The 25,240-nt window shown below is 35.7% G+C and overlaps 1 protein-coding gene and 1 pseudogene across 11 annotated transcripts in view; both read right to left on the bottom strand.

The window, feature by feature from the left end:
• The window catches only part of KPNA5 (karyopherin subunit alpha 5), a 60,657-nt gene that overhangs the window by 9,936 nt on the left and 25,481 nt on the right, over positions 1–25,240 (bottom strand). For 7 of the 11 annotated variants that reach the window (NM_001366307.2, NM_001366305.2, NM_001366304.1 and 4 more), the window contains 6 exons: positions 15,614–15,713; positions 9,643–9,806; positions 7,557–7,635; positions 6,056–6,181; positions 5,310–5,437; positions 2,191–2,369 (listed from right to left, as the gene is read on the bottom strand). In NM_001366307.2, the coding sequence (NP_001353236.1) occupies positions 2,191–2,369; positions 5,310–5,437; positions 6,056–6,181; positions 7,557–7,635; positions 9,643–9,806; positions 15,614–15,713 (776 nt within the window). Of the gene's footprint in view, positions 1–2,190; positions 2,370–5,309; positions 5,438–6,055; positions 6,182–7,556; positions 7,636–8,607; positions 9,807–15,613; positions 15,714–16,639; positions 16,721–25,240 lie in introns of those variants that run through there. The other 4 variants (XM_047418751.1, XM_017010841.3, NM_001366309.2 and 1 more) reach the window with 2 other exon arrangements.
• Positions 19,472–19,550, bottom strand: LOC124901560 (uncharacterized; annotated as a pseudogene).

The following is a 25,240-nucleotide window of genomic DNA, read 5'->3' as shown; positions in this document are numbered from 1 at the left end:
TGAGAGTATGTAGCAGTGTCATACGAAGAAGGACCATAGGCCTGGGAGTAAGATCACAGACACCACCCTGCTAGGTGTGTGATCTTGGCCAGGTAAGTTTAGTTCTTCTGTTTCTCAACTGTAAAATGGCAGTTTTAGATTAACTCCACAGGTCCTTTCTAGAGTAATTAACAAAGCCCAAAAAGGGAAAGCAACAAAACAAATTAAATGAAGAAAATAAAACACGCTGAGCCAGAGAGTATCACTATGAAATAAATGTGTAAAATTTCCAAACCCATACAATAAAAAACATATGGCTGTTGTGCGGTTTAAAAGAATTACAATCTACAATTGAAACTGAAAGGCCTCATTTTGAAAAGATGAGAAGAATCTATAGCAATCGATTTTACTGCTTATCAGAAAAAGCTCTACACGTAAGTCTGGGTAGTGCTGAAAATACATTTCATTTAATTACAGATAAACGACTTCAATCAGATTATCACAGAAAAAAAAGCAGCAAAGCAGTCCTATCTATACACAATCACAGAATAGCTCAAACCCTAGTCTGACTCGGGGTCAAAATAATGACTGTAGTAAGACAATATTCTTAAATCAGTGACTAATATCTTGTATTCATGTAATGTCTTATCCAGTGATGTTATATAATTTGAAAGAAAGACAAAGTGATATCATGGGCTTTAAGAATCAAAAATAAAAGTCTGAATCACCCATACAATGTAAGAGGACTTAATACAGAAAAGTGAATATTTAATGCAAATAAAAGAAAATCAATTTAGATTCATGCCTTATCTAAAATAAATTCCATATGATTAAATGTTTTAAGAACCTAATTTTTAAAACTTGGCAAATAAAAAAATTAATTTTCATCAAATCTCTGTGGAGGCAATGACTTTGTAAACTTTGAAAGAATAGAAAATTAGACTGAGTTATTTAAACATAAATGAACATGGTATGTTTTATTAAAATAAAAGAATGTGTTCAATGGATGATCTGAAAAAAAATAGACCGAGGAAAAAGTCATATCAAAATAAACTACTATAAAATAAAATTCAAATTTTTACCAAAAAAAAAAGTCAAATAGATAACCAGACAAAGTACAATAAATATGCAATTTGGATAAGGACACAGACTAACTCATGAAAAATACATACTACTATCTATAGGAAATAAACCAAAAAATGTACATAAAAGCAACTTGGTGTACTATTTTACATCTGCTGAGTCCACAAAATAAACAAAACAAGTATGAGGTTGTAGAATAGATTCATACAATGCCAGTGACACTGTCAGCAACAGGCCTTTGGAAAGCAAAATGAGAAGACATCAAAAGCTTAAAAAGAAGTCAGTGCCCTAAGACTCAGCAACTGTATTCCTGAAAATTTATCCCCAGATATTAATTCCATAAAAGAAATAAACATATACACAGAAAGATGCTTATTTTGGTATACATAAAGTGATAAACTGGGAACAAACTAATGGTCAACAACAGGTTATGGTTAAACTTCCATTCAAATGGCTAAAACTTGACTCAATATGTAGCATTATGGCCAGACATGGTGGCTCATATCTGTAATTCCAGCACTTTGGGAGGTTGAGGTGGCTGGATCACTTGAGGCCAGGAGCTCGAGACCAGTCTAGCCAACATGGAGAGACCCCGTCTCTACTAAAAATACAAAAATCAGCCGGGCATGGTGGCATGCACCTGTAATCCCAGCTACTCAGGAAGCTGAGGCACATGAATTGCTTGAACATGGGAGGTGGAGGTTTCAGTGAGCCAAGACCACACCACCGCACTCCAGCCTGGGAGACGGAGTAAAACTGTGTCTCAAAAAAAAAAAAAAAAAAAATTACATATTTTTATATATATATAGTATATACATAACATTATGTGGCCATTATAATAAAAATTATGTAGAAATGTAAAATTTCTCCAAAATGTTAAAAAGTAGAACATAAAACTATACATACAATACAATTAAGTCAATGTAAAGTATTTGTGCATACAGACAATGTTAAAAAAAGGTAAATAATAAAAATAAATTGTTAGGGTAATAAAATTACGGGTGACATTTTAAAACTTAAAAAAATACATACTGCTTTTACAACAAAAAAATTGTAGGGAACTGGAAGGGGAAAGTATGACAGATATAAGAACTGACTATAATTGCAAATTTTTAACTGATTGCTTACCATATGCTTCTTCAATGAGAGCACAGTATGGATTAATGCCTATTCCATTCTGCTTAGATTCTTGTTCTCCAAGACGTAAAATATTTTCAAGTCCATTTAAAGCCACTTGGACTATTTTGGAGTCCATAACAGTCAAAAGATCACAAAGTGGTTTAATGCAGCCTAAAGCTACCAAATACCTTCAGATTAATATAAAAGAGAAGAAACAGGGAAAAAAAGATTTAAAAAGACTTAAGTACTGTTTGTAACAATGACACAAAAATATTTTTCATAGTGAAATGTTACATAAGCAATTAAGAAAAAGTATTCCTATACAAATGCAAACATTACACACATTTAAATTCTCACATAGGAAACTTAAAATTTTCTTTACTCACCTATTCTCTAATTTAACATAATTAGCAATAAATGGTCTTGCAAAGACTATAAAATACAGACACAAACTGGTACTTCGGCCTGTTTTTCATGGTGCTCATCTGAGCATTAAACGTAGGTTCGAAAGGTTGTTTTTTTTTTTTTTTAAAGGCAAGCCTACACACAGACACACACACACACACACACACACACACACACACACACACACGGAGGTCATATGGGGGTAGACAGAAATGGAAAGAAAGAAGAGACATCTAAATTAAACTTGAGAAAATTTCCCATAAAAACAATCACAGCTAATGTTCTGAAACATATACTGTGTTTCAGAAGGATAGAAGGCCTGTAGGAACAAAACAGGCTCTCTTGTGAATAATGTTCATAAATAATATTCACAAAAAAATTCTTTAATTTCTGAATGCATGTCCTTTTCTAGTTATTGGCTGGTTTTCTGTACTCTATAATGTAAATGAAGTAACTGATTTGTTCACTTGGCAAAAAGTCCATATTAAGTACAAAGGTTAAAAACATACTATGAAGCCAGGCTGTGTGCCTTCAAGTCCCAATTCCACCCCTTATTAGTTGTGTGACCTTGAGCAATTACTCTGTGTCTCAGTTTCCCCATCTTAAAAATGGGAATAATAATAGTACCAACTTCAGAGAGTAGTTGTAAGAACACAATAGACATTTAATAAAAGTTTCTGTCCCTCTTAAAAAAAAAAGATGTATATACCTTCACCAGAGCACTCATTTGCCCTATACTGTACTGTAATTGGTCAAAAATATCTGTTGAATGAATAACTGCCTCATAGTTAAGAGATTACAGGAGATAAAATACATGAAAGTACCAGACACATTGCTGGTGCTCAATAACTGAAATGACTTACTTAGCACAATAACTGGCAATAGTAGGCACTCAACTAGTGGTATGGATGCATAACTTAATCTGAGATCAAGAGGTCTTTTCCCAAATATGCAAACTTAATGAAATGATAAAAGTGGTTAGAAAAATAATTATCTCAGTTTGGATACTTAATCCATACTAATAAATTAAAGCAATAATATACAGAATAGATATAACCACAAAAATTAATTGAAAAAATACAACTATTTGCAGGTGAACAAACTTGCAGCCCAAATAAAATAAAAGTAACATCAACATTAAAAAAATACAAAATAGAACAAAGGAAGGGTCTTCATTTATTACTGCTTGTATCCATGACACAAAGTGGAAATACTGATGAAAGCAAAGAGATAGAATAGAAAATAAAAGGCAGAGACAGATGCTAGCAATATACAGCTATACAAATTTGAGAGAGCAAGATAATACTACAAATGAAGGCAATAAAAGACGACAATTTCACAATAGGTAGATTTCAAAATTATGTGATTTATAAAATAGCACTGTAGTTTGACTTGTTTTATAAATTGAAAAATAAATCAAATATGCATTAGAAAATATTTTCTAAGAAGTCTAGTTTCATGGAGGGATCCTCCGAACAAGACGATTCTGTAGAAGCTTTTAGTAGAGGTGTAAGTGAAACTTTGCTATGGGAGATAAAAAAGAGTGAAAGTACATGATAAAAGATTCAGGAATCAATACTGATAATAAAAATTATGATGATTACAAATAATAACAGTAGCTATTCTTAATTATCTATTAGTTATTAATAATATGTTTAGGCACTGTGCTGACACTTCAAAGACATAAATTTCACTTAACTATCAAGATACAGTCCCTCGGTTTCATCGGAGATTGGTTCCAAGACACCCTTCCTCTCAATACCAAAATCCACAGATGCTCAATTCCTTTATATAAAATGGCATAGTATTTGCATACAACCTATGCATATCTTTCCAAGTATTTGAAATTATCTTTAGATTACTTATAATACCTAAAACAATGTAATTGCTATGATGTTACTAATTGTTGTATTGTGTTTTTAAATTTGCATTATTTTGTAGTGTTGTACTGGCATTTTTTACTGTCTTTTTCTTTTTTAATATTTTTGACCTGCAGGTGGTTGAATCCACAGATGCAAAACCCAAGGATATGGAAGGCTGACTTACACTGCCATAACTATTCATTACTGGAACTCATTTTTTAAAATGAAGAAACTAGATTAGAGGGGTTAAATGACTTTGTCAAGACCACACAACTTTTACTGAAGGAGCAGGATTTGAAATCAGGCTGACTTAAAAGCCCATGCACCTATTATTTACATTGTCAGCAGAATAAATAAATTTAAAAAGCCTAGACTCAAAAAGCTAATATAAAAAAAAGGTAACTAGTATAGAAAAATAAAAGATACTATCCATAGGCAAGGCTAACAATCAATGAGGACCAGAACATCACCATATAAACAATGTCTATTTCAATTTTATTTAAAGTAAGTGGATATTCAAATTTATTAGCCATTTCTATATAATAAAGCTATATTTTTGTGATTAAAAAATATTTAATGCCCATGACAGTGTACTCTGCAAATTAACATAGACCGTTCCCGTTTGGATTTTTTAATCTCTGATTTTTCTTAAGCAGCCTATCAAGGAGAATGATGTTAATTACACGTTAAATGGGGAAAAAAAAATTGTGAATGAGTAACTGATATAATACATGCTGTCATTTCATATTATCAAACTGACTTAGAAATAATATTTTAGTTCCATCAGTAAATTAAAATATGTTTTATTTCAACTTTTGTCTCATTTACATGTAAAAAACAATTAAGAAGTTTATATCATACCTTATTTGCTCTGGAGTACCTCCTGATGTTGCATTAGTTATAGCCCAAGCTGCTTCTTTTCTGGTACGAAACTCTGCTTTCTGAAGAATCTCAATCAAAACAGGAAAAATATTTGCATCTATAACAGCCTGAGAGGGGGAAAAATATATAATCAGTACAAATACTGTTTCTAAAATATTACCAGTAAAAAAAATCTTGAAACTCAATGGCTTCAAAATGTCAAGGTTTTTGGAACCTTGACATTAAAATAAATTTTTAATTTCTATTCTGTCAGCAAACTTTTCAAATATTTTTCTTTTTACATAGGAAATTAGCTTTTTAAAGACTGGAGAATAGCAAAATATAAATTTTAGAGATGATAAAGCACAAGCCATGTGACTGATCAAAATGGATAAGTAATCACTGACACAAGAAGCTTGATAGAACCCTAATAAATCATTAAAAGCTTTGAGAGGAAGATTATTGCATAACTTATTTAAAACTAATGCAAAAAAATATCTTTCTAAAGACAAACCATTATGTGTCAGGCACTGTGCTAGACACACACACACACACACACACTTGATGTTCTTCACTAGAATACTACAAGTAAATGTTATTATTTTAGAGGAGGAAAGCCCATGTTCTTTAAAATACTTTTTCGGTATCTTTTTAAAAAGGAATCTTTTTTAGTAAAAGTGTTAACTTTTGTCCAAACTGGCTTCTTAGACCTTGCTGTTCTACTCTCAGATCTGAAGGGTAGTTACCTGAATCTGAGCTCTATTTCCAGCAGTGATGTTAGAAACAGTCCAGCAGGCTTCTTTTCTAATTGACTCCTTTGGGCTACTCAATAAATGTAAGAGACAGGGTAATGCAGAACAATTCAAAATTACCTAAAACAAGTTAGAAATGGAAACAAAAAGTTTTATAGTAAATAACCTATATGAAAATCTACTAATGAATTATTTAGATGTACAAAACCCATTCTAGAAAGTGAAATTAAGAAAGGAGAAATTCCTCCCAAAGTAAAACTTGCTGTCTTCTACACGTCTGCTATTGATAAACCTAGTCTCCTGCCACTATAAGGAACTGCCCTGTTCTCAACCCAATAAAATGAAAATCAGAGGTGTATCCTTCATATTTACAAATGTTCTCAGAGTTCAACTGATAAAACTGAAAAAAGATTTGGTGACCGAGGTCAGGATCCAACCTCTAGTTTTGCCAAATGAATTGGTGAAAAAAATACATATATCATACAGTCTGAGAAAATCCAATTCTACAACCATTAAAAACAGCATGTAGAATCAATTGGCTTCATAAAAATTTTTACTATCTTACTCTTCTTCTGTAAACAAGTATATTCTGCATTGTCCCTTTACATTCTTTATTCCATTGCAAGATTAATTATGTTCCTATATTCAAAATACTCCAATGATTTACATTAAATTCATCTGGTGAAGAAGTGTGGAGCAGTGCACTGGAAATCCAACTGAAAATTACAGTATATGTCTAGAATGGCATTTTCATTTCAAGAGCTATATTAAATGAATAACTGTCAATTACTAAAGAGCAACTATTTAATAACTATGATTAGTATCCAAATAGGCCTTTAAAAGGATAAAACTGAAAGAAAATATGTAGGTTAGAATAAAAAATACACTGTAAGGCGGTAAACAAAGGAGAATCTAACGTGTTAAATAATTTAAGTTTCTATCTTCAAGAAAGATTGTGCTGGACATACTGGCTCATGCCTGTAAGTCTAACGCTTTGAGAGGCCAAAGCAGGAGGATCACTTGAGCTCAGGAATTTGAGACCAACTTGGGCAACATAGCAAGACCCTGTCCCTAAAAAATAAATAAATAAATAAATTAGCCAGGTGTGGTGGTGCACACCTGCAGTCCCAACTACTTGGAAGGCTGAGGCGGGAGGACTGCTTGAGCCAGGAGGACTGCTTAAGCCAGGGAGGTAAAGGCTGCAGTGAGCCATGATCACACCACTGCACCCCAGCCTAGGAGAAAGAGCAATATCCTGTCTCTAACTAAACTAACTTACTAAATAAATAAAAAGATTGTAACCCAAATCTGGCTGGAGTCAATCTTGACAGCACATCTTCTTTGACATCTCACCATCCTCCAAGACACAGATACAGACACACACACAATTATGGTGATGCTAAAATCTTGATTAATATGTAATCAAGTTGTATGAAACATAAATTTTTTAAAGTCCTTTATGTTAACAATTTATGATACTCAAGTTTGAACTCACCTGTGTTTGAATATCATCACCAGTCACAATATTACCAACTGCCCTTAATGCAGGTGATACAACTTTATAATCATTGTGCCTAAAAATAATAAAAACATGAACCTAAATACTAGTAAGAATTTAAAATTTACACAGAAGTTACAAAAATACTACAAACTCCTGCGGGGTGTTCAGCCAAAGATCCCATTGAAGTTTTACTAATTATTCTGATAATCTTTATAACAAAGGATCTAATCCAGGATCGTTCATTACAGCCAGTTTTCATGTCTCTCCAGAATGATTTCTCAGTCTTCCCTTAATTTTCATGATTTTGCCATTTTTGAAGATCATAAGCCCATTATTTGGGTTTATCCAATGTTTTTCATGATTAAGACCCAGGTTATATACTTTGGCTGGGGGATATCGTAAGTGCTATAACCTTTTCATTATATCCCAATCTGTTTTTTCCCATTATATTGGTACTGAATTCTGGTCACTAATTATGATGATGTCTGCCAGACTTTTCCATTTTACCATTATTGTTTTCCCATTTATAATTAATATAATTAATATTTTGCAACAAAATACTTTGAGATAATGCAAAATCCCACTCCTTAACCTACTTTACCACTAGATTTTAGCATCTCTTGATGCTTATTATCTGAAGTATTGGTAATTATTAGTATTATTACCAGTGATGTATTTCTAATACTATCATTCTAACTACATGCTTTAGTGTGGACTTATGGGTTTCATATTTTATTCAATAAAATATACATTAATGCAATTTATTTCAAAGCACAAACTGTCCCAGGTTTGGATAGTGAGAACCCCTTCAAATAGGCTTCTGTGTTCTTTTGACATCTGTCCATTACTTGAGCACTCATTACTTCCTGCATTCATCTTACATTTTTCTCAGTCCCAGTCCTGAAACCAGTCATTTCTCCAACAATCTTGGTTCCTTTCAATGGAGAGTAGTGTTTAGAAACTTCGATTTGAACTTCAGTTTCCTCAGCTTATTAATGTAGAAGTGTTACTGTTCCCATGCCCTTCAAGAGGATGCACACACACATACCTACACACATGTATATATTTATTTCCATACCTAGCTATGTTAAGAGCCATGAGTTCACACTGATATTTCTAGTTCTAATCTAAAATAATTAAATTATTCAGGCTTTCTCCTCTTCTATATTTTTATCTCTATTCTCCGATAACAGGAAATAGCTTCTATTTTCCTAACCTCCCTATATCAGCCAATCTTTTACCTCAGCCAGACTGGTACCCCATGATGTGCTGGCTCCAAGTCCTGCTCCAGCCTGCTTATCTGCTCACCCCAGTGGGTGTCATTATCAAGTTGGGGCCCTGATCCCCCATGCTGAACCTGCATGCCCACCCTCCACTGATGCTATCCTCATGCTGGGACCCCCAACTCCTTATCAGACCTATCTTTGTGCCATCTACCTTGTTTGGGCCTACAATGGCTTCTCGACAAAAGAAGAAAGGAAGGAAGATAATACATTTTTTAAAGAGGGTAAGTAGATGAAGTTATGAAGTTACAACATCTTTTTAAAACAAGTTTTCTTCAACGTTTTTAACTTCTTTGTATAGAAAAGCTGTTCTTTTTAAGGAAAATAGCTATAACAGCCCAGCAAAGAGAAACATGTTATCTTTAATAGAGGTGAAATACTAAATGATTTTCACTACATGGACTTTTACTCAAATTAATTATTATAATGAATAATAAACTAGATTATTTGTTCTGTGAGAGGAGAAACTGTGTTCTATACTTCATTAATGTCTCACACAACACCTTAGCAGATAACAGGCATTCCATAAATACTTATTAAGTTTATCTAATTCATAAAGAGATCACATTAAACTAAGGAAATTCATTTACAAAATAATTAGTTCCAACTATAGGACATAAGTTCCAAATTTTAGGGTCAACTTTCTAGGATTATGGCTATTCTGTTAAGTGTTGGGTCAGTAGCTTTTTAATTTTCCCTGAAGACAGTGACTCTTGAGATATTTACAAAGCTATTACTTGAATTGCTAATTTTAATCTCAATCATACAATTATTAAGCATAAATTATTTATAGTTACATCAAAAGTTCCACCAATCTTCGACAGACTCCAGAATCAATGACTGCTTGAATTTTATCATTGGGTCCATCGGAGAGATAAGAAAGGGCCCAACACACGTCTGCTAACACATCTGGGTCACTGCTAAACAACAGTCGTGACAGGACATTTAAGCAAGGTGAAACCTGTAAGGGAAGAAAGAGCATATTTAAATTTTTTCTCTATTTAAAACCAAGTTTCCTTAGAAAAATATAGAAATTCATTTTAAAACAAAAATTTAATGTTATAAAAATACCAGAAAATTTATATTGTTTTAAAATTATAATCAGATGTATGAATATGAAGCTGATTATGACTACTATTATGTTATATTGAATAAGATATGTAGTTAAATTTGTTTTAAAAAATAGTAAAATATTTGAGATCTCTTGTCTGTGTCTAAATCACACACACCCCCACAAAAAAAGCATACCAAAACTGAGAAGTTCAAATGTTCCAGTTAAGTGTTTGATATGATGATCACAGAATATAATCTAACTTTAATGAGCCTCACTGTACTCATTACATGTACTTAACTGGAAATAAATCTAATAATCATTTGAGGAACTAAGGTACAGAAAGTACAAAAATAAATATATTTGTGAAGGGTACTCAAGTGGAAGTCATTAATAAACTATTACACTGATAAGAAGGCATGTAGCACCTAAGAACAGTGCCTGACATAGAGTAGGCACTCAAATGTTGGCTTTTTTTAAATTCCCATGATCACTATTGATGCTATGTTCCTTAAAGCTGTTTTTTTAAAATAAGCAACCTAACATATCCCTTAGTCTTTCTCCTCAGTTAAGAAGTATGTTAAGCTGGGCACGGTGGCTCATGCCTGTAATCTCAGCACTTTGGGAGGCCGAGGCGGGTAGATAACTTGAGGTCAGGAGTTCGAGACCAGCCTGACCAACATGGAGAAACCCGATCTCTACTAAAAAACAAAAAAAAAGAACTATGTTATATGTTATGTATCTCACAAATAAAAAGTGATGACATTTTTCTTAAATGTTCTAATATTTTAGATGACTTTTCTCTTTACCCCTATTTTAAAGAATATCAGTATATAAACGATCCTCTTCTGAAAGCAGTTACCATCTCTGCTGGGCCTGTCCTCTAAAGATGATTTTCAAGATTATCAGCATATAAACTATCCTCTTCTGAAAGCAGTTACCATCTCTGCTGGGCCTGTCCTCTAAAGATGATTTTCAAGATTATCAGAATATATACCACATTTTCTGGAAGTAGTTACCATCTAAAGATGACCCTAGGACTCATGTACACAAATCAGTTAGCTTACATAATAGGTATGTCTATCTGTTAGTGGGCAAATAAAATCAGCACAACTGGATCCTTCTCCAGCAATCAAGCTTCCACCCTTGCCAACCACCTCTTCCTTGAACAGAGAAATCAGGGTTTGTTTTTCGTTTTTTGTTTTGTTTTGTTTTTGAGACAGGGTCTCACTCTGTTGCCCAGGCTGGAGTGCAACCTCTGCTTCCTGGGCTCAAGCAATCCTCCAGCCTCAGCCTCCTGAGTAGCTGGGATCATAGGTGTGAGCCACCATGCCCAGCTAATTTTTGTACAGACAGGGTTTCACCATGTTGCCTAGGCTGGTCTAGAACTCCTGTGCTCAAAACAATCCACCCACCTCAACCTCCCAAAATGCTGGAATAACAGGCATGAGCCGCCACACCCAGCCAAATATCGGGTTTTTGAAGCAAATATAAAGTATGTTTAAAAAAATTAATATAGCTGACATATACCTTTTCGCTGAGTTAAAAAACAATGAACTAATACCTATTTCCAGTATTAAGTGAGCAAAGTAAAAACATTTCTGCCCCAGTATCTTCTCAGGAAAAAAAAAAAGAAACAGAAATACAAATTCCAACTTTGAAAAGGCCAGTAGACATTAATAATCCTGCCCACAATATATAAAGACAAAAGTGAATAAAGAAACAGTAACCGACTTAGAAGAGGGGAGAAAAGTGGAAGCTTAATGCCAGGAGAGGGAACTACCAATAAGAGGAAAGCTAATTTATCTCCCCACCATCAACTCCAAATGCTTAGAAATCAGAGGAACCAGGTATCACAGACAGCAGGGGAAACGGTGCTAAAGTAGAGGAAGAGGTTAAAAATCTGATAAGAAGCAGGATAGACTTTGGGTCCCTACTACAAAGGTAGGTGACTAGCATTCTCAATGCTACCAAAGACTGGAAGTTTATTTGAAGGAGAAACTGGACAACAAAATGTGAATCACAGAAACAGAACTTTGGGATATAAAGCACAGTGGAGGTTGAAATGAAGCACTAGACTAGAAAGTAGGAGATAAGTGTAAGTCTGCATACTGACTAGTGAAAACCTCTAGCTCTTTCCCAATACTCAGTTCCCAGATGTTTATTATTTGTATTTTTTATTTTTGAGACAGGGTCTTGCTCTGTTGCCCAAGCTCAAGGTGCAGTGGCATGATCACAGCTCACTGCTGTCTCAACCTCCCAGGATCAAGCAATCCTCCCCATCTCAGCCTCCTGAGTAGCTGGGAGTACAGGCATGTGCTACCACAGTCAGCTAATTTTTTAAATTTTTTTGTAGAGACAGGCTCTTACAATGTTGCCCAGGCTGGCCTCGAACCCCTGGGCTCAAACCATCCTCTCACCTCAGCCTCCCAAAGTGCTAGGATTACAGCATGAGACACAGTGCCCAGCTGCAGGATATGTAGTAGCCAGGTATGTTACCTACTCTATACCTCAACCCAATCTACCCATCTTCCAGCAAAAGAATGCAAAATCTGTCTCTAAAAAAACTGAATGGTCTCACAAAAGAGACTGAAATTTAGTGTTCCTCTAAGAAAATATGGTTTTGCTGCCCAATTATCCTACAATGAAGTCCATTTATACACTCATTTCCAATCAGTTTTTAGTTTCTTCCGAAATTTGTTCAAAAATCACCAGATAAATGAAGACAGCCTCCAACATTAAAGTGATTAAGACAAACCACAAACAAAACAAAAAAAGCACAAAGAAACAAAGATGCCAAAAAACAAACAAACAAATAACACTATAAATCCTTAGATATGACAATTTGCTGGGTCCATAAAAGAACAGAATTCTACATAAAGATGAGCAACCAGAGAGCAAGACAACTACTTATTGAAAAGATAAAATAGGATTGTAGAAATGAAAATTTCCGGCTTGGTGTGGTGGCTCATGCCTGTAATCCCAGCACTTTGGGAGGCTGAGATGGACAGATCATCACCTGAGGTCGGGAGCTTGAGCTGGCCAACCTGGCACCAGCCTGGCCAACATGGTGAAACTCCGTCTCTAATAAAATATAAAAATTAGCCAGGCATGGTGGCAGGTGTCTGTAATCCCAGCTACTTGGGGGGCTGAGGCAGGAGAATTGCTTGAACCCGGGAGGCAGAGGTTGCAGTGAGCTGAGATCGTACCACTGCACTCCAGCCTGGGCGACAGAGTGAAACTCCATCTCAAAAAAAGAAGAAAAAAAAAAGAAAATTTCAAAAAAAGTGAATGATTAAAAAACAAATCTCTCATATAAAATTACAGAAAATGTACTTAACAAACAAGTCTTAAGCCCCAAAATGTGATATTATTTCATAAGTTTGGAACACATAAGTAAACAACAGACAAAGTTTCCCTCAGGAGTTCACATTTTAGTGGAAGATTTTTAAAAATTAAAATACATAAATAAGGGCCAGGCATGGTGGCTCACACCTGTAATGCCAGCACTTTGGGAGGCCGAGGCAGGTAGCTTGCCTGAGGTCAGGAGTTCGAGACCAGCCTGACCAACATGGTGAAACCCTGTCTCTACTAAAAATACAAAAATTAGCTGGGCGAGGTAGCATGCGCCTGTAATCCCAGCTACTCAAGAGGCTGGGGCAGGAGAATAGCTTGAACCCGGGAGGCGGAGGTTGCAGTGAGCTGAGATCGTGCCACTGCACTCCAGCCTGGGTGACAGAGCGAGACTCCATCTCAAAAAAAAAAAAAAGAAAAAAAAAATTAAAAGACATAGAAAAACACATATATTATGTTAAAAGGTGATTTGAAAGAAACAGAGTAAAAATGAAGAAGGTCAGGTATACTCATGGGGTGAGGGCAGTTGTTACAGTAGGTAGACACGCTTAAGCAGGGCATGAGAGGGCTGCTCCCCCACCCACTAGGAATGTCAGGTGATGGTTTGGCAATTATCACATTACATCTTTAAAAGTGATAAATTGGCAGCCGGTGCCAGGAAGAGGCCATTTCCTGATGATCCTCACCTGCTGCACTAAAGTGTTAACTGAATGCAGGCACCAAGGAGATGCAACTTCTCAGGCATGTCCATTAAGAGACAAAATGACGGAGTATAACTTTCTGGCGGTGGGGGGGGCACACTATTGGAAAAGGGAAGAAAGCCTCAGATGGGCATGTATACAACTTCCTAAACACACTGCTCATGCTCACCTCCCAAGTGTAAGGAGGGCACTGGACATGGAGGCAGCGCACCCTTAAGGGAAGAATCATGGGAAAGGGGCCAGTCTATAAAGTCCTAGGATCAAGGTTAATTTAAACACGGCACTTCACCTCAGTGCCTGCTTGGGTCCCTTCCAAGCGTACTTTCCTTTCTTTCCTGTTCTAAAGCCTTTTAAATAAACTTCCACTCCTGCTCTGAAACTTGCCTTGGTCTCTTTTTCTACCTAATGCTCTCAGTTGAATTCTTTCTTCTGAGGATGCAAGAAATGAGGTTGCTGCAGACCCATATGGATTTGCCACCAGTAACTTGGATACCTTCCACCGGTACCACAGTGACAGATTACATTATTAAAAATAGTGGTAACAGTAGAGCTCATAAAAAAATGTGACTTCTAAGCAAACAAAGATGAGGGAATCAGTCAAGTAGCTACCTACAAGGAGACTGTTGTAAGACAGTGGTTGTCAAAGTGTGATCCATGGACCCCTGGGGGATTCCTAAAACCCTTTTGGGGGTATATGTGATGTCAAAACTATTTTCATAATAATACTAAGACATCATTCGTCTTTCTCATTTTGTTGACATTTGCACTAAAGGTACAAAAACACTGGCAGGTAAAACTGTTGGCATGTTAGCACAAATCACGGCAGTAGTATCAAAATGTACTACCTATCTTTGTATTCTTCACCTCGGTTAAAAGGGCAGTGGGTGGGGAAGAGCCAGTTTTATTTAAGAGTTAACGTGAATAGGCAGTAAAAATTACTACTTTTATTAAATCTCAACTCTTGAGTTTGTGTCTTTTGAATATCTTATGAAATGAAATGAAAAGTAAAAATGAGAAGGCATACTAGTTCATGCATTACCTTTGTGAATTAGAAATGTATTATTTTTTATCCCCAGAAACTTTATCACTAGATCTTTACCAAAGTTTAAACTTCTCTTAGTGCTAGAGTCATTGTGCCATTTTAGATACTAAATTCAAAAGAAGTACAATGGTATTCTAAAAATTTACCCCCTTTCTACCTTCCTAACAGCATCTTAAACAATACAACTAAACTGGGAATTAATTAATCATCTGTATTTCTAGAGGCAAAATATCAGTAGATAGGGAAACAGATATCCTAAGAGATAAAAGTTACAATGAAAAAGTACAAATGGTGAACATAAAGGAATTATTTAATCTTTTGGGGGACTTATTTTCCTATAAATGAGAGAGCTAGACTAGAAGATTTCTGAAATCAATTCCTTGATACATGTGGTTGCAGTGACTGCCTCTGGGCACAGGAATTTAAGGTGTGTGAGGAAAAGTACAAGGGACACTTCCTTTATATTGTAAAGCTTTTGAATACTGTATATGTGCAAACATTGGTCAATAAAGAAAATAATTACTAAACAAAAAGTGGAGTTCCTTAAACATCAAAAAGCTATTATATAGAAACTTAGGTTTATGGAAACAAATATTTTAATTTGTGTATTTTACTCATACCTTACTAAAGTTTGGAGGAGGGTTTTTGCCTCTACATAAATTTGAGAGGGCCCACACGGCATTTCTTGTTGTTGTGAGTCTGTTTGAATTTGTTAATAACCTGCCAAGAAAAAGAAAAAAAAGAATTATCACCTTACATTCATTTTTCCTCTTTAGCTATCATAATACAAAATTTCTCTCCAATATATTTTATAAGATATTCAAACTAGCAAAATAGGAAAAAAGAATCTAAAATTCATTATGTTTTCACAAGCTAAATAAGCATATTACAGTTCTATTTTCTAAAGTGAATCTACAATCTGAATTCTTAAAAGAATTCTTAAGAGAATGCCGTGGGAAATTTACTTATTTCTATATATATTAAAAAGAATACTAGATTAATTTTTCTTTTTCTTTTTTTTTTTGAGTCAGAGTCTCACTCTGTCACCCATGCTGGAGTGCAGTGGCACGATCTTGGCTCACTGCAACCTCTGCCCCCTGGGTCAAGCGATTCTCCTGCCGCAGCCTCCCAAGTAGCTGGGATTACAGGCGCCTGCCACCACGCCTGGATAATTTTTGTATTTTTAGTAGAGATAAGGTTTCACCATCTTGGCCAGGCTGGTCTTCAACTCCCGACCTCGTGATCCACCTGCCTCAGGCTCCCAAAGTGCTAGGATTACAGGCGTGAACCACCACTCCCGGCCAGATTAATTTCTTTAATCATGAAAATAATATATGAATTCAGAAAGCAAGGAATACAGTTTTAAATTATATAAAGATTACCTATTGACAAGAGAAGTTCTTTTGTTGTGTTTTTAACAGAGTATGTCTTAGTATTTTTTTACCTAGTTTGCAATGAACCTTGGTATCTACTGAGTACCTAAAATGAGAATTTTTCTTCTCAGCTCCTAAGGAGTTACTACTTATAGGTATTTTTTTCAAAGCATAACTTTATGTTTTAGTTATTTAAATAGGAGAGCCCCTAAAATAGTAGTAATTGAAACTTTTAGAGTTGTGGACCCCCTTGAGACCATAATGGATCCTTACCTTAGAAAAAAAGCACATACATCAAAATTTGGCATGCAATTTCAGGAGTTTGTTAACCTCCTAAGGACCTCCACAAACCTGCTAGAAGTACAAAGAACCTAGGTTAAAAAAATCCCTGTTTTAGAGTGACATATGCAAAAATGGTGCAGAATGGAACTCCAGGTGCTTGTCCCTCCCAGGAACACCAAGAAACTTGCAAACACTGTCAGAATCAAGTTTATTAGAACTCTGAAGATAGTCAAAAGTTTATGGCAACTAAGATAACTTTTAACCAGGAAAGGGCTGAAATGTAGTAGGAAAGCTTTGCGGCATTTTAACCTACTCTTACGCAACCCCCTCCCCAGCCTGGCAGCAACCTTTAAGACAGCAGCCTGAGTTCTCACTGTGGGTTCCTGGTTCTGGAAGGAGTAGAGCAGAACTTGTTTCCAAGAAATTGTGTTTGTCTGTTTTGACCTGTTTGGAGGTTCCCTGAAAAACTGATGCAAAGGGCTTGCCTTTGTTTTGCATAACTGGGAATTCTCTCAGGGTGGAAAAGTAGCTTTGTAAATAAAGAATGGTCCTCAAAAACATTAAAAGGCAAATGAATGAGATGTTGAAACCTCAACAAAAGATACAGTTGAGGCAAACAAGACACATGTTGAAAACCTGGCTGGAAAGGTGGGGAGTAAGATACTTGGGCTATGAGGGATGTGAAAAGCTCCCACATGTATCAGACAGTCTGAAGGCCCATGCACATGTCCAGGGCAGAGTCCACAATCAGAAAAAACATGAAGAGACCTACGCTTTTACTTCTAGTTTTCCTTTAGGCTTAGCACAAGCAGGGAGTAAAGTAGTGCTAAGTCATAGCTGTAATCAGCCTGACTAAGAATTGAAGAGGTGGCTCAATGCAGGGCCAATCTGTAAAAACCTGGAGACTTTTCTTTTTGTTTATTTTTGGCTCCAGATATTTAAAGCACTCTCTGCTGTCAAACCACTAGCTACCCACTGAGTTAAGGGAAAAGAGATTTCAGAGACCACGCATGACAAGGAATAGAGGCTTTATAAAATTAATTTTAAAAGTCCCCAAATAAATAACTACAACAAGCAGCAACATGAAAACCTGGAAGGAGAGGAGAATCTGATTTCCATAGTTAACCATAGTTACAATAATCAGTCCAGTTTTTCAACAAGAAATTATGAGGCATGCAAAGAAATTTTAAAAGTGTGGTCCATTAACAGTGAAATATATAAATTAAAAGAAATTTTCCCTGAGAAATCACAGACATTGGATTTACTATGCAAAGATTTTAAATTCATTGTCTAACATGTTCAAAAGAGCTAAAGGACCTATGCACAAAAAAACTAAAGAAAACTAGAAAAACAATGTCTCAACAAATAGAGAATCATCACTATGGAAACAGACATTATAAAAAGGAACTAAATAGGAATTATGAAGCTGTAAGTATAAAACTGAAATTAAAATTTCACTATAGGGGTTTGACAGCAGATTGAGCAGGGAGAAGAAAGAATCCACAACCCTAAGATAGGTTAATTGAAATTATTCAAACTGAGAAGCAGAAAGAAAAAGAATGACAAGAAATGAACACAGTCTAAGAAAGCTGTAAAATACCATCAAGCATACCAATATATGCATAATGGAAATCCAAGAAGAAAAGGAGCAAAAAGAATATCTGAAGAAATAATTACTGAAAACTTTTCAAACTTTATAAAAGAAATGAATCTACACATCCAAGAAGCTGAATAAACTCTAAGGATAAACTCAAAAAGACACATACCAAGACACAAGTAATCAAAAGACAAAGACAGAATCTTGAAAGCAAAAAGAGAGAAGTGACCCGTAGTGTAAAAAGATTCCTCATAAAGATCAATAGCCGATTTCTCATCAAAAATCATGAAGGACAGAGGCAATGGGATGACATATTTAAAGTGCTGCTCTCAACCAAGACTTCAATATCCAGCAAAACAATCCTTCCAAACAGAAGGAGAAAGTGAGATTCCCACATGAGCAAAAGCTGAGGAAAGGCATCACTAGCAGATTGGCTTTACAAGAATAGCTAAAGGGAATCCTTTATGCTGAAATGAAAGGGCCATAAACAATACCTCAAAACCATACAAAGAAATAAAGAATACTGCTAAAGATAGCTACATAGGTAACTCTAAGAGCTAGTATTATGGATTTTTTGGTTTGTAATTCCTCTTTTTTTCCCTACATGACTTAAAAGTAAAATGCAAAAAAAAAATCATTATAAATCTAGGGTAATGGGCACACAATGTATAATAATGCAATTTGTGGCAATAACAACTTAAGAAGGGTGAGACAGATATGTATAGGAGTAGTGTTTTTGTATAATTTTGAAGGTAAACTGCGAGTAATTCAATCAAGGTGGTTACAAGTTTAAAGTGTTAATTATACTCCTTAGGGTACATTAAAAAAAAACTTTTTAAAAAAATAGGAAAGGAAACAAGAAAGGAATCAATAGTATAAATTATTTTAAAAAAAAAGTGACATGTGGAAAACAAATAACAATGGCCAGGTGCTATGGCTCACACCTATAATCCCAGTGCCTTGGGAGGCCAATGCAGGAGAATCGCTTGAGGCCAGGAGTTTAAGACCAGCCTAGGCAACATAACGAGACTCTGTCTCTACAAAAGCTTAACTAATAGTAAAACGGCAAAAGTAAGTCCCCATTTATCAGTAGTTATATTAAATGTAAATGAATTAAACTCTCAAATTAAAAGTAGTAACTGGCAGAATATATTAAACAAAACAAAACAAAACCCATAAGTCTACGATGCTGTCTACAAATGACTCATTTTAGAATCAAAGACATAAATAGGTTGAAAGTGAAATAGAAAAAGATTTTCCATGCAAATAATACACTTGATCTTAGCCAAAAGGCCGAGAAGCGATTTTCCATGCAAATAATAACAGAGATCCGAATAGTTACACTAATGAGACAAACTAGACTGTAAGTCAAAAATTGTTTTCAGAGACAAAGAAGAACATCATATATTGATAAAAAGTCAATCTATCAGGAAGAAGTAACACATGGGTCAGATGTGGTGGCTCATGCTTGTAATCCCAGCACTTTGGGAGGCTAAGGTGGGTAGATCGCCTGAGGCCAAAAGTTCGAGACCAGTCTGACCAACATGGTGAGACCCATCTCTACTAAAGATACAAAAATTAGCTAGGCATGGTGGCACGTGTCTGTGGTCCCTGCTATTCAGGAGGCTGAGGCAGGAGAATCACTTAAACCTGGGGGCGGAGGTTCAATGAGCCGAGGCTGCACCACTGCACTCCAGCCTGGGCAACAGAGCAAGATTCTGTCTCAAAAAGAAAAAGAAGTATCACTTAAAAACTTACATGGTCTAGGCCTAGCGCAGTGGCTCACGCCTGTAATCCCAACACTTCGGGAGACCAAGGCAGGTGGCTCACGTGAGGCAGGGATTTGAGACCAGCCGGGCCAACGTGGCAAAACCTCATTTCTACTAAAAATACAAAAATTAGCTGGGCTTGGTGGCACATGCCGGTAATCCCAGCTACTCAGGAGGCTTTGGGAGACCAAGGCAGGCAGATCACTTGAGCTCTGATAAATTTTTGAAAAGTGAAATCATAAAAAGTATCTTCTCTGACAACAATGGAATGAAACTAAAAATACAGACAGAAAACTAGAAAATTCAGAACTATGAGTAGAGTAACATACTCTTAAATAACTAGTGAGTTAAAACACACACACACACACACACACACACATATGCAGAAAATACTTTGAGATAAATAAAAAAAAAAACACACCAAAACTTAAGGGATGTAGTGAAATTAATACTCAGAAAAAAATTTATAGTTGTTAACACCCCATATGAAAAAAAGATAACCTTCCACCTTCAGAAATTACAAAAATTAGAGTAAACAAAACTCATAGCTAGCAGGAGGAAGAAAATAAAGTTAAGACCAGAGATAAAATACAGAATAGAAAAACACTACAGAAAATCAACTAAACAAAAAGGCAGTTCTTTGACCCAAAAAAAAAAAAAAATCAACAAAAACAAGCCTTTATCTAGATGGACAAAAGGAAAAAGATTCATATTACTACAATTTGGCTGGGCGCGGTGGCTCACACCTGTAATCCCAGCACTTCAGGAGGCTGAGGCAAGCGGATCACCTGAGGTCAGGAGTTCAAGACCAGCCTGGCCAACATGGTGAAACCATGTCTCTACAAAAATGCAAAAATTAGCCAGGCATGGTGGCATGCACCTGTAATCCCAGCTACTTGGGAGGCGGAGGTGAAAGAATCGCTTGAACCCGGGAGGCAGAGTGTGCCGTGAGTCGAGATCATGCCATTACACTCCAGCCTGTGCAACAGAGCAAGACTCCAACTCAAAAAAAAAAAAAAAAAAATATATATATATATATATATAAAATAATATTACTACAATTAAGAATGAAAGTAGAGACATTACTATCAGCACTTCAACAAAAAAAAATTATATGAGAATATTATCATCAAAAGCCAAGAAAGATAAGCTGGAAGAAATGAAAAACCACTTAGAAACACAGAAACTACCAAACTGACTTAAGAATAGAAAATCTAAATAGAACTATAACAAGATATAGAATTCTAATCAAACACTTCCCAAAAAGGAAAAGTCCAGCACCAGATGGCTTCACTGGTGAATTCTACCAAACATTAATGAATAATTCTCAAACCCTTTCAAAAAATAAGAGAACACTTAAAATAATGGAAAGAATGTAACTGGATTATTTGTAACTCAAAGGATAAAAGCTTGAAGGCATAGATACTCCATTATGTGCTTATTTCACATTGAATGCCTGTATCAAAACACCGCGTGTACCCCATAAATAAACATATCTACTATGTAGCCGCAAAATTTTTTTTTTAAAAAAAGAGAACACTTCCTCATCAATTCTATGAGGATAGCATTACCCTGATACCAAAGACAAAGACATCAAAACAAAAGTTACAAAAGAAAAAATATTTCTTCGGAATATACATACAAAAATCCTCAACAAAATCCTAGGAAACTGAATCTAGCAGCTTATACTATGACCACATGGCATTTAACCAAGCAATGCAAGGAAGCTTCAAGATACAAATATCAATCAAAATAATAAACCATATTAATATAATGAATTTAAAAAAACAAGTTATCTCATTGGATGCAAAAAGTATTTAAAAGAGCTCAACATCCTTTTATGATAAAAACACTAAACAGGTCAGGCACAGTGACTCATGCCTGTAATCCCAGCACCTTGGGAGGTCGAGGCGGGCGGATCACGAGGTTAGGAGATGGAGACCATCCTGGCCAACATGGTGAAACCCTGTCTCTACTAAAAATACAAAAATTAGCTGGGCGTGGTAGTGCACGCTTGTAGTCCCAGCTACCTGGGAGGCTGAGGCAGGAGAATTGAACCCAGGAGGCAGAGGCTGCAGTGAGCCAAGATCATGCCACTGTACTCAAGCCTGGCGACAGAGCATGACTCCGTCTCGAAAAAAAAAAAAGAAATAGAAGGAAACTACCTCAACAGGATAAAGGGCATTTATCAAAAACCATAGCTAACATCAAACTGAATGGTGAAAGAGTTAGTTTTTACTCTGAGATAAGAAAGAAGACAAAGACACTCATTTTTGCCACTTCTAAATAACATTGTAATGGAAGCTCTATCCAAAGCAACTGTGCAACAAAAAGAATTCACACAGCCAACTTGGAAAGCAAGAAATGAAACTATCTTTTTTTAAAAAAAATTTAGAGATGGAGTCTTACCATGTTGCACAGGCTAGAGTGCAATGACTATTCACAAGCATTATTATAGTGCACTACAGCCTCAAATGATCTTGACCTCAAATTCGACTTCAAGACCAGCCTGGCCAATGTGATGAAACTCCATTTCTACCAAAAATACAAAAATCAGCCAGGCATGGTGGTGCACGCCTGTATTCCCAGCTACTTGGGAGAGTTGAGGCATGAGAACCGCTTGAACCCAGGAGGCTCCTGACCTCAAACGACCCTCCCTACTCAGCCTCCCAAGTATCTGAGACTACAGGCATGTGCCATTATGCTCAGCAATGAAACTAACATTATTGACAGATGACATGATCTAATATATGGAAATCCACAACAATCTACAAAAAAACTATTAGTGTTAATAAATTCAACAAAGTTGCAGGATGCAAGATCAACATACAGGCCAGGTGTGGTGGCTCACACTTGTAATCCCAGAGTTTTGGGAGGTCAAGGGGGGATGTATCACTTGAGGCCAGGAGTTCAAGACCAGCCTGGCCAACATGGTGAAACTCCGTCTCTACTAAAAATACAAAAATTAGCCAGGTATGGTTGTACACGACTGTAATCCCAGCTACTTGGGAGGCTGAGGCACGAGCATCGCTTGAACCTGGGAGGCACAGACTGCAGTAAGCCAAGATTATGCCACTGCACTCCAGCCTAGGTGACAGAGCAAGACCCTGTCTCAAATTAAATAAAAAAATAAATAATCAACACACAAAAATCAGTTAGTTGTATTTCTATACACTACCAAGGAACAAGTCAAAAAAGAAATTAAGAAAACAATTTCATTTACATTTGAATAAAAAAGAATAAAATACTTTGGAATACATTTAACCAAAGAGGTATACGACCTGTTTACTAAAATCTACAAAATGTTGTTAAAATTAAAGACCTTAATTAATTAAAAGATTTCCCAGGTTCATGAATTGGAAGCCTTAATATTATTAAGATGGCAATACTGCTCAAAGTGATCTACAGAGTAAATGAAACCCCTATCAAAATGACAATGACTTTTTTATAGAAATGAAAAAGTCAACTTACACCCACTAAGATGATCTAAATCAGAATAACAGATAATATGTGTTGGTGATGATATAGAGAAATTAGAACACTCATACATTGCTAGGACAATGTAAAATGGTACAGCTGCTGTGAAAAAGTTTGGTAGTCTCTAAAAAATTAAAGATAGAATTACCATATTACCAAATTCCACTCCTACGTATTTACATACCCACAAGAATTAAAAACCAGTACTGAGACAAAACCTTGTACATGAATGTTCATAGGAGCACTATTTACAGTAGTCAAAAGGTGGACACACCGAAGTGTCCATCTATTAATGAATGAACAAAATGTGGCACATGCATAAAATGGAATATAATTCAGCCATAAAAAGAACGAAATCCTGATACATTCACTATAATATGGATGAACCTTGAAAACAGTAAGCTAAAAGAAGCCAGACACAAAGGTAATATATTGTATGATTCCACTTATGTGATATATACAGTATACATAGAGAGAGAAAACAGATTTGTAGTTTCCAAGGCACAAGGTGATGGCAAAACGGGATGTGACTGCTTAATGGGTACTGGGTTTCTGTTTAAGGTGGTAAAAAAATTCTGGAACTAGATAGCAGTGATAGTTGTACAATGTTGTAAATCTACTTACTGCCACTAAATTGTATACTTTAAAATGGTTAAACTGGTTACATGTATTCTATTACACTAAAAAAAGTTTCTGTTCTAAAGGCTTTCCTAAAAATAGATGTTAGATTTCCCCAAAATACAACAGATTTAGAAATAAAATAGTTATACTGCTTTTGTATGCTAAGAGTTGACAATTTTTTCAGTAAATATTTTAGGGTTTGCAGGCCCTCCTTCTCGTTTTTATTACTCACCTATGCTGATGTAGCATGAAAGCAACCAAAGACATTAAGTAAATGAATAGGTGTGACTGTGTTCCGATAAAACTTAATTTACAAAAACGTGAAGCAAGCCAGATTTGACCTGAGAGATAAAGCTGGCCAACCCCTGTTGTATACTATTGTTCTTTTTTTGTATTAATGGGGTTATTATGAGAAAGTACAAATATGCTACATTATAAATTAAAGTTGAGTTAAATTACAGCAAAATTGTATCAGGATAGTTTATAGTAGTAAAAGATTTACATTTACTGAGAATCAAATGAATACTAATAAAATAAATTAAAATATCACTCAAACAGATAAAATGATACATTAATAAGTTTTACATTTACTTAAGCATTACTAAATGTGAATTACAATGTGAACAACAAATAATGCATAATCATTTTTTTTTTTTGAGACAGTCTCTCGCTCTGTCACCCAAGTTGGAGTGCAGTGGCGTGATCTTGGCTCACTGCAAGCTCCACCTCCTGGGTACAAGCCATCCTCCTGCCTCAGCCTCCCGAGTAGCTGGGACTACAGGCGCCTGCCACCACGCCTGGCTAATTTTTTGTATTTTTAGTAGAGATCGGGTTTCACCGTGTTAGCCAGGATGGTCTCGATCTCCTGACCTCATGACCCACCCAACTCGGCCTCCCCAAAGTGCTGGGATTACAGGCGTGAGCCACTGCGCCCGGCCTGCATAATCATTTTTTAAGCTGAAAATTTTTCCTTTTGCCCAACTCCAGAGAGAGTATCTAACTTAACTTCCTTTTAATTACTTTTCTTATTTTTTTAAATACTTTGAAACTTTCTAAGACGAAGTTTTATAATGAAACTCTGAAACTTTCCAACTTTTTAATACCCTTTTTGGAAATTATTATTATTAT

This window comes from Homo sapiens, chromosome 6, assembly GCF_000001405.40.
Source record: "Homo sapiens chromosome 6, GRCh38.p14 Primary Assembly".
NCBI classification, from domain to species: domain Eukaryota; kingdom Metazoa; phylum Chordata; class Mammalia; order Primates; family Hominidae; genus Homo; species Homo sapiens.
This window is presented reverse-complemented; position numbering and strand designations above follow the sequence as displayed.